This window comes from Homo sapiens, chromosome 2 (genome assembly GCF_000001405.40).
Source record: "Homo sapiens chromosome 2, GRCh38.p14 Primary Assembly".
Taxonomy (NCBI): Eukaryota; Metazoa; Chordata; class Mammalia; order Primates; family Hominidae; genus Homo; species Homo sapiens.
Window position 1 is genome coordinate 95789665 of NC_000002.12, and position 16696 is coordinate 95806360.

At 49.7% G+C, this 16696-nt stretch overlaps 1 protein-coding gene and 1 pseudogene across 2 annotated transcripts; both read left to right on the top strand.

Moving 5' to 3' along the window:
- On the top strand, nt 1-10527 carry LOC128966744 (glycerol-3-phosphate acyltransferase 2, mitochondrial; the record flags this gene model as incomplete). Of its 2 annotated transcripts, none has more annotated exon segments than NM_001422178.1 (16): nt 1-100; nt 2496-2618; nt 2769-2882; nt 3581-3654; nt 4067-4171; nt 4381-4509; nt 6825-6924; nt 7363-7496; nt 7809-7908; nt 8006-8218; nt 8610-8732; nt 8903-8985; nt 9312-9430; nt 10080-10150; nt 10241-10449; nt 10452-10527. In NM_001422178.1, coding segments are annotated over 15 exon segments (1713 nt in total), but the record flags the coding sequence as incomplete, so codon positions are not given.
- GPAT2P1 (glycerol-3-phosphate acyltransferase 2 pseudogene 1) lies at nt 2548-10527 on the top strand (annotated as a pseudogene).

The following is a 16696-nucleotide window of genomic DNA, read 5'->3' on the forward strand; positions in this document are numbered from 1 at the left end:
AGTCCACGCCTTGTGGCGGCTTTGCGGAGCTGCTGCTTTGGCGGGAGTTGGAAGCTGGTGTGAGGTGAGAGGCGCGGTGGTCGCTCCCCGGCGAGGCCAGGTCAGAAGGGGACCGGGATCATCCAGGGGCTTTCCTGCTTCAAGAGCCTGGTCTGAGCGGCCTGTTGGGGACTGGGCGGAAGTCGAAAGGGAGGGAGTGCCGGCCATGCGGGTCTTGTGGCGGGAATGAGTCCTTGTGGGGCGTGGTGTTGTGGAGAGCCCCGCTTTGCCTCTTCCTCGGCATCCCGTTCCCCTACATCCAGAGAGGGCATCCAGGACCTGATGTCGGGCAGGTGCCCTTCGCACATCTTGGGGTAGCTCGGGGAGCGCCTGTCACGGGTCTGACGAGGAAGCTGAGGCCTGAGGGGCCCTGGGCGGGGGCTGTGGGGCGCCGAGGCCATGTTTGAGCAGAGCCGGGAAGGTGAAGTTCTCTTGCGGCTCTCTGTAGGGCACAAGCATTCCAAACGTGGGGGCAGGTTTAGAGTTTTACCCTTGATCAAGGGCTGAACGCTCAGATGTGCACAGGCTCAGGCGTCAGTGATAATCAAGGTGGAGGCAAACGGGAGGGCTCCTGCTGTCGGGCTAAAGGGACAGTGGCGGCCAGCTGAGCCCTGTGGGGTGTGTGCTCAGAGATGCCAGAGCTCAGCTTTTTCCATTACAGCCGCGACTGGAAACCTTGATTTTCAAAAAATGTATATGTAACAAGCCCTCTGCTGTTCAACGTTGGTTTTACATCATAAGGTTTTAGCACGTTGTGTAGTCAAAGAAGTGTGTGTGTGTGTATATATATGTATATATGTATTATATGTATATATGTGTGTGTATATATGTATATATGTATTATATATGTATATATGTGTGTGTATATATGTATATATGTATTATATATGTATATATGTGTGTGTATATATATGTGTCTATGAGTTGAATTTGCCCTCGGGGTGCCAGTTTGCATCCTCTGCTGTAGGAGTCCTGAGCTGTGTTGTTAACTGGCAGATGGGAATAACCCCTTGCCATGGCTTTGACTCTGCTTCCGTAGAGCTAGCACAGACCTAATGGGGTTAGATTTGGGGGTTGGGGGTGGTCTGCAGCTAGGGGACAGACACCCTCCTTGCAAAGCGGGCGTGGGTTTGTAGCCTTCCTGTACCATGTGTCTGTGAACAGGGCTATGCAACATTTTCAAGATAACAGAGTGCCTTTGGGATGAGCCTCCCGTGGCCCCCGAGACCCTGGGCACTGCAGGGATCCTGATCCCATTACTGCTTGGCTTCCTGGCTGGAAACCGAGCTGACTGGGGAAAGGAGGAACGCGCCTGGAGAATTCTTGGGAGGAAGTTATTGTGGGTCAGCTGGCTCTTCCTGGTTCCCTCTTGCACACCGGGCAGACTGCTGGACATACAGAGATGAGTCCCTGCCCTCAGGACACTCTGACCACGTAGGGAGATGAAACCATAGCCCTGGAGGAGGGCTTCGAATGGCTCTTTGCCGGGCAGGCTTGGGCTGGGGAACCCAAGGAGGAGAGGGAGGGCTTAGAGGGTGTTCCAGAAGCATCGTGGACTTAGAACCCTGGGCAGAATTGGGTGGGTGGCTGGGAAGGGAGAGGCTCCTAGATGGGCCTGATCGAAGTGTGGTAGGGATGGGGAAACATGATTAGACCAGCCCACTCATCAGGGTCGTGCTGACAAATAGGGAAGAGGGGCTTTTAGGCCCAAATTTTTGAGCCAGGAGTCGTTCAGTGCTGTTTGAAGGAACATAGGTATTTATTAGTTCAGGGAAATATTGTGGTGGGAAGGAGGGGCTGAGGAGATACAAGTGGCGTCTTCTGTGGAGAACGTTAATGTGAGAGGGGAGTGATTGTGGAAAAGTCTGTCTTTGTCCCCAACTAGATGCTCATTCCTGGTGAGTAGGCCTCTGTGTTCTGACCCTGAGTTGTCCCTCTTCTATTAGCCAGCCCACATTCCCGTAATGTTTGGGTGGTTACAGGGCTGTCTCCTGGTGAGGAGGGGAGGGCAGCTGAGTAGGACCTGGTGGCCTCATGGCGATAGTCTTCTTCCTCCTTGGCAGTCTTGTGCCTCCTTCCTTCCAATCCAGCCCTCATTCTTTCCCTCTGCACAGAAAGGATCAGCATCTCCGGTACAGCCCCCATCTGTGCTAGGAGATGGCCGGGTGGGTGTGGATGCTAAGACAACCGATCCCCCTCATGTTGGCCCGAGGAGGGCCCTGACCTGGATACTGTGAGACCTTTTGAGGACAGCTGGCTCCTTTGTGGGATCAGTTGGGTGTGGGGCAGGGCCTTGACCTGAGCCAGCCCCTAGTTTCCAGCCTAGGTTCTCCTCACCACTAATGGCCTAAGTGATGTCTGTCTGTCCTGTGATGGGGGGTTGCAGTTACCGCAGGAGGCCCTGGATTATGGCTCAGATTCTTATGGCTCCATCCTTGCACCTTTCCCCGGCTCAGGTTTCTGTGGGGAGAAGGAGAGTGCCAGAGGTGACTGGTTCGTGGTTCTTCTAGGCTCTCATGGCCACCATGTTGGAAGGCAGATGCCAAACTCAGCCAAGGAGCAGCCCCAGTGGCCGAGAGGTAATGTGTCTCCTCCCATTCCTCAAATCCTCTCTGCCCTGCCACCCCTTCTGCTGTGCCCCTCACTCCTAGAGCCTCCATTGCTCCATCTTTCCCTCTCTCCTGCCAAGGACTTTGAGTCCTCTCATCTCTCCTCATCGCCCTTTCCAGGCTAGCCTGTGGTCGTCAGGCTTTGGGATGAAGCTGGAGGCTGTCACTCCATTCCTGGGCAAGTATCGCCCCTTTGTGGGTCGCTGTTGCCAGACCTGCACCCCCAAGAGCTGGGTGAGTGATGGTAGGGCCAGGCCCCAAGCAGGAAGCTTGGTTCTGGGAGCCGAAGCTCTGGGAAGCTGCTTCCTTTATGTCCCTGAAAGCTTGGCTCTTCCCTGCCCCATGCCTCTGCTTCTGTCTTTCAGGGGAATGGATGCACTGGTATTGGTTGTATGGTTGGGCGGTGGCTTGTTCCCAGGCCTGGGAGAGTTGGGTGGGAGAAGTACAGAGGGGCCTAAGTGGTGGTAGGGTGTGCCCAGAGGGCTGGGTTCTTATCATGCCTGTGTCAGTTTTGTTGTTCAGTTTTGTGGACATCACCCACTCAGACTTCCCCAGCACTCAGCACATGCTTGAAGACCTCTTTTTTGGTTTGTGTCATGTGATGGTGGTGAGGGAGCCCAGATTTCTCATGGAGACCCAGGCTGCGTTTTCTCTGCTGTTGAGAAGATAACTTCTGGAGACTTTCATATACCACTCTGAAAGAGGGTGATTCTGTACAGGATACAGCACTTCAGTTTTGAGCATGGGCCCCTTTTTCCTGAGCCAGCCTAGAATCTGGGGTCAAACACCTTTTGTGAAATACTGTGCTGTAATCTTTTCTCCTGGAAGACTTAGCAGGCCACCAGGCAGAGCCAGAGGGGCAGTACAGGGGCGTTTCTTTACCAGTTTGCAAAGGCCCCCCAGGACATGCTGTCTCTCCCCCTGTCTTGCAGGAGTCCCTCTTCCACAGAAGCATAACGGACCTAGGCTTCTGCAATGTGATCCTGGTGAAGGAGGAGAACACAAGGTAGTCAGAGCTATGGACTGGAGCAGGCTTGGGGACAGGGACCCTTGGGTGCAGGGCTGCTGGGGCCCTGCTTTTTGGTGCCATTTTCTTCCTCTGATAGAGAAAGAAGGGCCCCGTCCTCTGTTCCATACACAAGCCTGCAGGGAGGGGCAGACTTGGAGCTCTCTTGCAGTTCCTTCTGTGAGCATGTATGGATTGCCCACCGTGTTTCAGGCTGTGAACCTGTACCCGACTCAACAGGGTGAGGGGTGGGAATGGGGCACAGATGGACAGGCAGCTCTTCCTGCTCAGGTGTTCCTAGTACATGGGTCTGGGGTGTGGTCCCTTTCTGATTGAATAGCCTTCTGTGAGTCCTAGTGGAGGTGGGCCCTCTCTGAAGGATCTTCCCTCCTGCTCTGGGAGCTGTGCCCAGGTTTCGGGGCTGGCTGGTTCGGAGGCTCTGCTATTTCCTGTGGTCCCTGGAGCAGCACATCCCCCCCTGCCAGGATGTCCCACAGAAGATCATGGAAAGCACCGGGTGAGGAGGCAGGGAGTGAGGTCTGGCTGGCATTTCTGGGATCCTGAATGGGATGACAATGACACTAGGTAGGGGTGTTTGAGAGGGGTGGCTGGGGCAAGGCTTCTAGAGCATGAGCTTTGCCTGGGACCCTTCCTTAAGGAGGAGAGTGAAGACTGGAGGCTGTGCCCTGCTGCAGCCTCATAGCACTCCTTCTAACCCCCTCACAGGGTGCAGAACCTCCTCTCAGGGAGGGTCCCAGGAGGCACTGGGGAAGGCCAGGTGCCTGACCTTGTGAAGAAGGAGGTACAGCGCATCCTGGGTCACATCCAGGCCCCACCCCGTCCCTTCCTGGTCAGGTAACTGGGCTGAAGGGCACTCACCCTTGGGCTGGGGACTCTGTCCTTCTGGAGAGCGGGTGTTGGCCGGGCTTGGGGAAGTGCTGGACTCTCCTCCTGGGTTGCTGGATAGTGTTTACCAGAGTGGGCTGCAGCCTGCCTTCACCACCGCCTCCCATCCCCACATTTTGCCAGCACAGGTTGGAGCCTCTGTTAGATGCAGCACACTGTTCCAGGGAAACGGAGGGTAAACGAGATATGCGCGGCTGCAAGGAGGAAGGAACAGGGCTGAGACAGAATACCAGGAAGGGGACAAAGAGCCTGTAAGCCAGAGCCAAGAGGAAGAAAAGGCGAACAAGAATGAGGCGAACAGTCTTGCTAGAGGGAATAGCCTGAGCTTTGGCCCTGGGCAGGAAAGGACTAGGTTTGCTCCAGAAGCTGACGTGGTTGGAAGCCAGCAAGTGAGGGGTCGAGAGCTGTGGGAGGTGAAATCGAGAGGCAGAAGGGATCAAATCATGTAAGGCCGTGCAAGTTTGGACTGGATCTCCAAGTGCAGTGAAAACCAGTTGCAAGGTTTTAAGTGGGAAGTGACATCATGAATTGGGGTCAAGAGTGGAGACCAGAAGGGCATCTGGAAGGCTGTTTTGTTAATCCAGGTGAGAGATCATGGTGGACAGTAGAGGTTGAAAAGTGGATTGAGAGGTCGAGGTGATATTAACAGGACTCACTGAGGGATTGGACAGTGGGAACAGGGGCAGTGAGAGAAGTAGGAGAAGTTACAGGACAGCCCCGTTTCTAGCCTACTTTCTGGTGGTATGGACAGAGAACAGGCTTTGGGAGAAGTGAGTTGGCCCAAAAAGGTAGTTTGGAGAGAGAGAGTTTTGGTACCTGACATGCTTGTGGAGACACTGAGGAGGCAGCTGCATATAGGAGCCTGGAGCTCAGAAGAGAGGTTGGGGCCAGAGACACTGCGAGGCTTTAGCATACAGATGGTGTTTAAAGCCAAGGAGATGAATGAGTCCCTGAGTACAGGTGGGCTTGGGGGCAGCATGTGTCAAGCTCAGCTGTCTTGAATGTGCTGAGTGGCCAACTGAGCAAGGACAGAAAGTAGAGGTTGTTGGTGACCTTGACCAGCCCTCTGCTGTTCTAGTCTCTTGATCTGCCTACCTTGACATCAGCCATCAGCCTCCCTTTCTGTGTTTCCTTCCCTCCAAGCCTAGCTCAGATTGCAGGCTCGGGGTGCTAATAATGCTCTTTCGAGGGAGTCATGGGCATGACCCCCCGCTGTCTACCTTCTCTTTGCACCTGAGCAGCCCAGCGTTGCCAGAGAAACACACACCAGTGGACTGGTTTCCTTGCTAAGTGCAAATGTCACAGGGACACATGGCACTCTCCAGGGCTCCCACCCAGCCTGCTCCTTCTTAGACTTATCCACTGTCAACTGATTCCCCATCTCATGCTTCACAGAAAGATAAAAGCCATCACATGGGGACTTGCTGCTTATCCAGCACATTTCCCTGCTACTACAGCTATGTGTCTGTCCTAAATTAAAGCTGGTCCTATGCCGGTGCAGTGGCTCACACCTGTAATATCAGCACTTTGGGAGGCTGAGCGGGGTGGATCACCCAAGAGCTGAAGACCAGCCTGGGCGACATAGACCAGCCAGGGCAAACTTGTCTCTCCAAAAATTAGCCGGGTGCACTGTTGCGTGCCTGTGGTCCTAGATGCTTGAGAGGCTGAGGTGGGAGGATCGCTTGAGCCCAGGAGGCAGAGGTTGTAGTGAGCCAAGTTTGTGCCACTGCACTTCAGCCTGGGCAACAGAGCAAGACCCTGTCCTAAAAAATAAATAGAGCTGGTCCTCCTGTTGTGCTGCAGGGACAACCCCACCCACCTGCCCACCAGGGATTTTGCCCCTGCAGTTATCCCCTTTCCTTCTTCTATTACTAATCCTTCCTTTTTATTTCACCTTTTCTGGTAGATTGTGAAGACCAGGCTGGGTTCTGCCTGGAGAGAGGCTTGGTCCTCTAGTCTCCTTTAGGGTAAATTGAGGCAGATGCTCTGATTCTGATGTGAGGCAGCTCCACCATGAGGTCGTGGGAGAGTAGCAGCGTCTGGTGGGCATGAACTCTGGTGTCAGAACTTCCAGTCCCAGCACTGCTACTTCTTAGCGTTCACTACCAGGAAGCAGTTCTGTAGCTTCCCTGAGTCTCACTTTCCTTCTTCTGTAAAATGAGGATAGTGGCGGGGCCTGCCCTAAGGAGCACTGGGCAGCCCTCCAAGTGCCACGGGCCGAGCGTCACTCCTTGCCGCACCTCAGGCCTGGTGTCCCTCCCCAGGCTGTTCAGCTGGGCGCTGCTGAGGTTCCTGAACTGCCTGTTCCTGAATGTGCAGCTCCACAAGGGTCAGATGAAGATGGTCCAGAAGGCCGCCCAGGCAGTAAGGCCCGCCCTCCATTGGGTTGGGGATGGTGGGAGCAGAAGAGCAGAGGCTGGGCCAAGCCCTTAAGTCAGGAGCAGTCCCCATCTGGTCCTGCTTCCTGGCCTCTCTGTTCCCAGCCATACAGCAGTCCAGTCCCCATCAGCTGGTGGGAAAAATCCCCTGCTCTTTGCCGACCTTCCCTTATGTCTCACGGCCCTGCTCCCATGGGGCTTCCTCTAACGTCTTTCCATCATGGTCTTAACAACCATGACGTCAGTGCGTCGGTGCAGTTACCTTAAGAGTTGTCTAAAGGCTCCTTTGCTTTTGGGAAATGTGCTCAGAGGAAGAACTCTGCAGCTGAACTGTCCCTCCCTCTGGGGCTGCCCTGGGTCTTTGGCTGCCTGTGTCCTCAGGGTGGGGCAGGTTGGCACTTCCCTCTGGCTCTCCCCGGAGCAGGGCTTGCCGCTTGTCCTCCTCTCTACTCACAAAACCCTCCTGGATGGGATCCTGCTGCCCTTTATGCTGCTCTCCCAGGGCCTGGGTGTGCTTCGTGTGGCCTGGGACTCCCGCGCCTGCTCCCCTGCCCTCAGGTAAAAACCTTTTGCCTCTAGACATACATGGGAGAAGTCGCAGGCTGGGGCGGGGTGTGTATCGGGGTGTGTTGGCAGCAGCTCCCTACTAAAGGCCCTCTTCGTGGCCTCTCTGCTCCGAGCCATACAGCAGTCTAGCCTGTGGGGCTTAGATGGAGGTGTCAGCCACAGGGCCTAGGGCCATGGCTTTGCCTCAGGGTATTCAAGTAGGACACAGGCTGGCCATGGGGGAGCTGAGACTCTCACTAGCCCCTTACTCATTCACATCTTCAGAGCCCCTTTCCTTATCAGGCTCTGCCCTATGTCCCACAGAGCTCTGCTGAGGAAGCTTGGGGGGCTTTTCCTGCCCCCAGAGGCCAGCCTCTCCCTGGACAGCTCTGAGGGGCTCCTTGCCAGGGCTGTGGTCCAGGCGGTGAGTGCCCCCAGTGGTTACATATGGGCCAGGCTAAGGGGACAGGGGTCTGTTTCTGCTCTGGCCTTAACACCCCCTCTGACCCCTCCTATTCCAGGTCATAGAGCAGCTGCTGGTTAGTGGGCAGCCCCTGCTCATCTTCCTGGAGGAACCTCCTGGGGCTCTGGGGCCACGGCTGTCAGCCCTGGGCCAGGCTTGGGTGGGGTTTGTGGTGCAGGCAGTCCAGGTGGGCATCGTCCCAGATGCTCTGCTGGTACCAGTGGCCGTCACCTATGACCTGGTTCCGGATGCACCGTGTGACATAGACCATGTGAGAATGTGAGACCTTCCAGCCCCTTGGGCCCCTAGGTGGACACCAGCTCCCGATAGGAGGCACAATATTGTGTCCTGTGGCTGAGCCCCACTTAGGGCTGTGGGGGGCACAAAGGAATCGTCCTTACAATCATCTGGCAGCACCTGTCAAGGCCATTACCATCATCTCATTTCATCCTCTGAAGACCTTGATAGGGAGGGATTTTTCCTGTGTCATGGATAAGGAAAGAGGAGCTTGGGACAAGGTCACGCACCAGTTTGGGCCTGAGATAAAACTGAGCAGGGTGGGACCAGAGGATACCTCTGGAGACCAGGATGGGTGGGCAGCCCTGATGTCCGCCCGAGAGCAGTGTCCTCGGCGAGTATAGTTATCCTTTCCCTCCTTGCAGGCCTCGGCCCCCCTGGGGCTGTGGACAGGAGCTCTGGCTGTCCTACGTAGCTTGTGGAGCCGCTGGGGCTGCAGCCACCGGATCTGCTCCTGGGTGCGCCTAGCTCAGCCCTTTTCCCTGCAGGTATGGAGCCAGCTGGGGAAGGCTGGGAGTACCTGGGGTGTCTGTCCTAGGCATCCTGGCAGCCTGGCCCTCAAAGCCACTGCAGGGATAGCTTTGCCTACTTCCAGTGGGCTGTGTGCAAGTTTCCTGGTGGGCCCGAGCAGGCCACCTAAGAGCCTTCTCCTGGGCAGGAATACATCGTCAGTGCCAGAAGCTGCTGGGGCGGCAGACAGACCCTGGAGCAGCTACTGCAGCCCATCATGCTGGGCCAATGGTAGGGGCACGGGAGTGTGGGGTCTCAGGGGGCAAGGCAAGCAGCCCTTCAGCACCAGCTTATGTATCCCCCATATACACACACTAGCAGCCCTCCCTCACCAAATATCCTGGGGTCATCTAGAATAGTTCCAGGTACTCGCCTTGCCAACAGTCTGAGTGTGGGGTATGGCACAGAGGCCTGGATGGGACTGGGGATTATAGAAGCCATCCTCTGTCCTGGGGCTGGGAGGGGGAAACACCCTCACCTTTTAGAAAGCTCTAGGCATTCCCACAGCTGTTTTTGTGTTTGGACCCTTCATCCTGTAATCTGTGTCTCTATCTCAGTACTGCTGTCCCAGACACTGAGAAGGAGCAGGAGTGGACCCCCATAACTGGGCCTCTCCTGGCCCTCAAGGAAGAGGACCAGCTCCTGGTCAGGAGACTGAGCTGTCATGTCCTGAGTGGTGAGGGTGAACCAGATCTGGGCCTTTGAGGGTGGGTCACTGAACCGTCCCCTCTGTCGGGGTCAGCCAGTCACCAGGGTTCTCCATTCCAAGTGAGTGTCTGCACCTGAGGCCCTCTGTGGTACCTCGGGGACATCTGAAGAAGAATGGAACCCTCCTCCTACAGGAGGAGCAGGCAGCCAGGGCCATCATGAGGGAGCAGCTAAGTGCATGCACAGAGATGGTGGCCTGAGGCCAGGAGGCTGCAGCTGCTTCCCCAAGGCCACACCCAGCCCTGCCTTCTGAGCGGAGTCTCCTTAGCTTTGGGTGGGGATGGTGTTAACTGAATGGAATGATACGTGTAAGGGGCTTAGCATAGTGCCTCTGCAGAGGGCCCTTATAGGGAGATCCATCTGTATCTTCTTCAGTGCCCCTCTAGTAGAGGCTGTGGGTTGATGTGTGGGCCCTACGATGAGATCTAGGGAAAGGCCCCCAGCTCCTGGCCTGCTCTCAGCCTGTGTGTGATGATAAACACCACTGCTCCGGGCATACGTTCCTCATCCCTGGGGTGGAGTTGGGATGTGTGGCTAGGAAGACTTGCCAGATCATGGAGGGACCAGGCTGCTGGGCCTCAACCTGACCAGCATCTCCACCCTCCGCCCCACTCCAGCCAGTGTGGGGAGCTCTGCGGTGATGAGCACGGCCATCATGGCGACGCTGCTGCTCTTCAAGCATCAGAAGGTAGGGGGTGCAATGTGGTGGGGACCTGGGCGGTTGGGGTGGGGGGGTGGATGTGTGGCCCTGCTGCTCAGCCCTGCTTTGCCCACCCAGGGTGTGTTCCTGTAGCAGCTCCTAGGGGAGTTCTCCTGGCTGACGGAGGAGATACTGTTGCGTGACTTTGATGTAGGCTTCTCTGGGCAGCTGTGGAGCCTGCTGCAGCACTCACTGAGCCTGCTGCGGGCACACGTGGCCCTGCTGCGCATCCGCCAGGGCGACTTGCTGGTGGTGCCACGGCCTGGCCCAGGCCTCACACACCTCACCTGGCATGGCTGAGTGCTGAGCTGCTGCCCATCTTCCTGAGCGAGGCTGTGGGCGGTGAGTCTTGAGGTGCACGGGGGGTAGGTGCACGGGGGGTAGGTTCACGAGGCGGGTGGATCATGAGGTCAGGAGACCAAGACCATCCTGGCTAACATAGTGAAACCCTGTCTCTACTAAAAATAGAAAAAATTAGCCAGACGTCGTGGCACACACCTGTAGTAGCAGCTATTCAGGAGGCTGAGGCGGGAGAATCGCTTGAACCCGGGAGGCGGAGGTTGCAGTGAGCCAAGATTGTGCCACTGCACTCCAGCCTGAGTGACACAGCAAGACTCCATCCCAAAATAAATAAATAAATAAATAAATAAATAAATAGCTTTTGGGCAGAGATGATGGGGTCAAACAGGGATAGTTTGACTTCCTCTCTTCCTACTCGAATACACTTTATTTCTTTCTCTTGCCTAATTGCCCTGGCCAGAACTTCCAATACTATGTTGAATAGGAGTGGTGACAGAGGGCATCATTGTCTTGTGTCAGTTTTCAAGGGGAATGCTTCCAGCTTTTGCCCATTCAGTATGATATTGGCTGTGGGTTTGTCATATATGGCTCTGATTCCTTCAATACATAGTTGATTGAGAGTTTTTAACATGAAGGTTGTTAAATTTTATCAAAGCCTTTTCTGGATCTATTGACATAATCAGGTGGCTTTTGTCTTTAGTTCTGTTTATGTGATGAATCACATTTATTGATTTGTATATGTTGAACCAACCTTGCATCCCAGGGACGAAGCCTGCTTGATCACGGTGGATAAGCTTTTTGATGTGCTGCTGGATTCGGTTTGCCAATATTTTATTGAGGATTTTTGCATCAATGTTCATCAAGCATATTGGCCTGAAGTTTTCTTTTTTTGTTGTATCTGTGCCTGGTTTTGGTATCAGGATGATGTTGGCCTCATACAATGTTAGGAAGGAGTCCCTCCTTTTCAATTGTTTTGGAATACTTTCAGCAGGAATGGTACCAGCTCTTCTTTGTACATTTGGTAGAATTGAGCTGTGAATCCATGTGGTACTGGGCTTTTTTTTTTTTTTTTTGGTAGGTAGGCTATTTATTACTGCCTCAATTTCAGAACTCATTATTGGTCTATTCAGGGATTCAATGATTCAATCTTGGGAGGGTGTATGTGTCCAGGAATTTATCCATTTCTTCTAGATTTTCTAGTTTATGTGCATAGAGTTGTTTATAATATTCTCAGATGGTTGTATTTCTGTGGGGTCAGTGGTAATATCACCCTTATTATTTCTGATTGTGTTTATTTGAATCTTCTCTCTTTTCTTCCTTATTAGTCTAGCTAGTGGTCAATCTATTTTATTACTTTTTTTCAAGAAACAAGCTCCTCGATTCATTGATCTTTTGAATTTGTGTGTGTGTGTGTGTGTGTGTGTGTGTGTGTGTGTGTGTGTATCTTCTTCAGTTCAACTCTTATTTTGGTTGATTCTTGTCTTCTAGATTTGAGGTTTGTTTGCTCTTGGTTCTCCAGTTCTTTTAGTTGTGATGTTAGGTTGTTAACTTGAGATTTTTCTAGCTTTTGAATAAGGTCATTTAGAGGTATAATTTCCCTCTTAACATTGCCTCAACTGTGTCCCAGAGATTCTGGTACATTGTCTCTTTGTTCTCATTGGTTTCAAAGAACTTCCTGATTTCTGCCTTAATTTCATTATTTAGCCAGGAGTCATTCAGGAGCAGGCTGTTCAATTTCCATGTAGTTGTGGGACACTTCTGAGCTTCATGAGCTCTTGTAAAGTTGGTCTGGTGGTAACAAATTTTCTCAGCATTTGCTTGTCTGAAAAGGAGCTTATTTCTCCTTTGCTTATGAAGCTTAGTTTGGCTGGATATGAAATTCTGGTTTGGAGTTTATTTTCACACATTCACTCATCACTTCCCTGCACAGGCGAAGGGGTTCCCCTTGGCTCTTTGTCACTTCTGGGTGGGCTGTCACCCTGCCCTGCTTTTTTCCATTCTCCATGGGTGGAGCTGTTTTCCTGATCAGTTCCAGTGTGAGTACTTGGATATTTCAGTTGAAGGTGCTGTGTTTACTCATCCCTTTCATTCTTCTCTGTGAGAGCCATGCACCATAGCTGCTTCTAGTTGGCCATCTTGGCCCCCTTCTGGCTGAGCCTAATTCTGTGTAATAGAGGTTGTACATAGATATGCCCTATAAACACAGATTATAGAGAAGGATCATACAATATGATCATACAATATGATCCTTACATATGCACATACATGTGCAATATGGCTCTGCATGTGTCATGCATCAGTCAAAATTACTCTGTTTTTTACTTCAGGGTATCTTGACTATAGTGTTTCATATGTGTTTCTGTTTTTCTCTGTATCACAATTTTAGATCATTGAATGGACTGCTGGGCTAGACCTGGCAAATTCTTCTGCCAAGTGTACTATATGTCTAGGTTCATGTCACTGTGTGATATCGGTGTCCTTGTGACAACTGTAGGGGGATATAAGAGCAACAGTGAAATAAAGTCATCTCTCACAGCTGGCATGTATATTCCTATAAATTTATGTGAACAGGAAAATAGACACAAATTGGAACCATGGAATTCAAAAAACGGTCTCTTAAATGAAGTCACAGAAACTACGTGGAAATTTAAAACGTTGAACCCTGTCCTCAGTTGTATGCACCTCTGCACAACAGGTCTATCTTCTGGAAGGGTAAGGTATTTCTTCTCACATTTTTTTCCTTCTGTCTTCTAAAAAGCTTCATGTGAAAGCAGAAGACTCATGAGAAGACATCTAGAGACTGGCCCTAAAGTGCTTTTCTCCACAGGAATGTCACCCAGGCACTACATCCAGGAGTCTCAGGTGCCACTGGGTTCCCATCCTCAGTGAGGCAGAGCTGGGAGAAGGCACACAGCATTCAAATTTCCTTCAAGTCACTTGCTTAAGGTATACATTGAAGGTTCAAACTAAATTCGAAATCTTTTTTTTGTTGTTTTTTACAATTAGCACTTTTTTGTTATTTTTTTAATATATATATTTTTTATTACACTTTAAGTTCTGGGGTACATGTGCACAACGTGCACGTTTGTTACATGTGTATACATGTGCCATGTTGGTGTGCTGCACCCATTAACTCGTCATTTACATTAGGTATATCTCCTAATGCTATCCCTCCCCCATACCTCCACCCCACAAAAGGACCCAGTGTGTGATGTTCCCCACCCTGTGTCCAAGTGTTCTCATTGTTCAATTCCCACCTATGAGTGAGAACATGTGGTGTTTGGTTTTTTTTCCTTGTGATAGTTTGCTGAGAATGATGGTTTCCAACTTCATCCATGTCCCTAAAAAGGACATGAACTCATCATTTTTTATGGCTGCATAGTATTCCATGCTGTATATGTGCCACATTTTCTTAATCCAGTCTATCATTGATGGACATTTGGGTTGGTTCCAAGTCTTTGCTATGGTGAATAGTGCCACAATAAACATATGTGTGCATGTGTCTTTATAGCAGCATGATTTCTAATCCTTTGGGTATATACCCAGTAATGGGATGGCTGGGTCAAATGGTATTTCTAGTTCTAGATCCTTGAGGAATCACCACACTGTCTTCCACAATGGTTGAACTAGTTTACAGTCCCACCAACAGTGTAAAAGTGTTCCTATTTCTCCACATCCTCTCCAACACCTGTTGTTTCCTGACTTTTTAATGATCGTCATTGTAACTGGTGTGAGATGGTATCTCATTGTGGTTTTGATTTGCATTTCTCTGATGGCCAGTGATGATGAGCATTTTTTCATGTGTCTGTTGGCTGCATAAATGTCTTCTTTTGAGAAGTGTCTGTTCATATCCTTTGCCCACTTTTTGATGGGGTTGTTTGTTTTTTTCTTGTAAATTTGTTTGAGTTCTTTGTAGATTCTGGATATTAGCCCTTTGTCAGATGAGTAGATTGCAAAAATTTTCTCCCATTTTGTAGGTTGCCTGTTCACTCTGATGGTAGTTTCTTTTGCTGTGCAGAAGCTCTTTAGTTTACTTAGATCCCATTTGTCAATTTTGGCTTTTGCTGCCATTGCTTTTGGTGTTTTAGACATGAAGTCCTTGCCCATGCCTATATACTGAATGGTATTGCCTAAATTTTCTTCTAGGGTTTTTATGGTTTTAAGTCTAACATTTAAGTCTTTAATCCATCTTGAATTAATTTTTGTATAAGGTGTCAGGAAGGGATCCAGTTTCAGCTTTCTACATACGGCTAGCCAGTTTTCCCAGCACCATTTATTTAATAGGGAATCCTTTCCCCATTTCTTGTTTTTGTCAGGTTTATCAAAGATCAGATGGTTGTAGATGTGTGGTATTATTTCTGAGGGCTCTGTTCTGTTCCATTGGTCTGTATCTCTGCTGGGACGTATCTCAAAATAATAAGAGCTATTTATGACAAACCCACAGCCAATATCATACTTAATTGGGAAAAACTAGAAGCATTCCCTTTGAAAACTGGCATAAGACAGGGATGCCCTCTCTCACCACTTCTATTCAACGTAGTGTTGGAAGTTCTGGCCAGGGCAATCAGGCAGGAGAAAGAAATAAAGGGTATTCAATTAGGAAAAGAGGAAGTCAAATTGTCCCTGTTTGCAGTTGACATGATTGTATATCTAGAAAACCCCATTGTCTCAGCCCAAAATCTCCTTAAGCTGATCAGCAACTTCAGCAAAGTCTCAGGAGACAAAATCAGTGTGCAAAAATCACAAGCATTCTTATACACCAATAACAGACAAACAGAGAGCCAAATCATGAGTGAACTCCCATTCACAATTGCTTCAAAGAGAATAAAATACCTAGGAATCCAACTCACAAGGGACATAAAGGACCTCTTCGAGGAGAACTACAAACCACTGCTCAACGGAATAAAAGAGGACACAAACAAATGGAAGCACATTCCATGCTCATGGATGGGAAGAATCAATATTGTGAAAATGGCCATACTGCCCAAGGTAATTTATAGATTCAGTGCCGTCCCCATCAAGCTACCAATGATTTTCTTCACAAAATTGGGAAAAACTACTTTAAAGTTCATATGGAACCAAAAAAGAGCCCGCATTGCCAAGTCAATCCTAAGCCAGAAGAACAAAGCTGGAGGCATCACGCTACCTGACTTCAAACTATACCACAAGGCTACAGTAACCAAAACAGCATGGTACTGGTACCAAAACAGAGATAAATTGGAAATCTAACAGAAGCATGTAGAACTACTTATCAAGCCCAAGTCACTTTTAGATATTTGAGAATGTGTACAAACCATATGGGTCTATTTTCCCCAAAAGTATGTTTTTTGCAGTAGTGGTTAGGAGTATTCTTTTGTGAGATGGTATTTTTCTTAACCAACCACCATTTAGATTCTCGGTTCTCTTAACTTTTAGGTTAACAACTCAATACATCTTCCAAGTGTCCTCGTATACTTTTTCTGGTTTGACTATTAGTTTAGGTGGTGCCTATGGCCCATTCAAACTCTGAGACGCTGAGGCTCTGATGTGTATCCATCTGGTTAGAGTATGTATGAGTAAAGCCAAGGTCAGTCAATGACTTGACCTCACTACCTTTTCCAAAATTTCTAGTTCTAACATTGGCTAGCAATTTTGAATGCTTGTCAGACAAATACCTCAGAGTCCTTGCCCTGCTAATGCAGTCGTTATTAATAGTGAAAATTACATTGTGTTGCCTTATTTAATGATGTTAACTGAGTAAGCATTTATAGAGCACCTATTCTGGGAAAGATTAAAAATATACAAAGTGATAATAAATGGTCTCGTCTTAAGAAGCTTAAGAGGAAATATGACATATTAACAAGTTGCCATGAATTAACGCATCATATAATAATACAATAAGAGAGTATAAACTATTTTAATAAACATGTTCTACAAAATGGAGCATTTGGATCCTGAAAGGGGGCTAGAATTTAAAAGTATGAGTTGAGAGAGAAAGCATTCCAGTCAGAGGTACCAGCAGAAAAAGTAGCTCTGAGACAGGCATTGGAATTATCAAATATATTTTTCTTCAGATTTTATGAAAGTATGCTTATCCATGAATGCTGAAGTGCTTATCTATGTCAACATTTTGTTAAAGAGTTACTCAAGCTCAGAAAATGTAGGGAAATTTTATTTATATTTTCTCAGAAAATATATTTATTGATATTTTCTGAGAAAATATAGAAAATATAGGGAATTTTTAGTTTATATTCT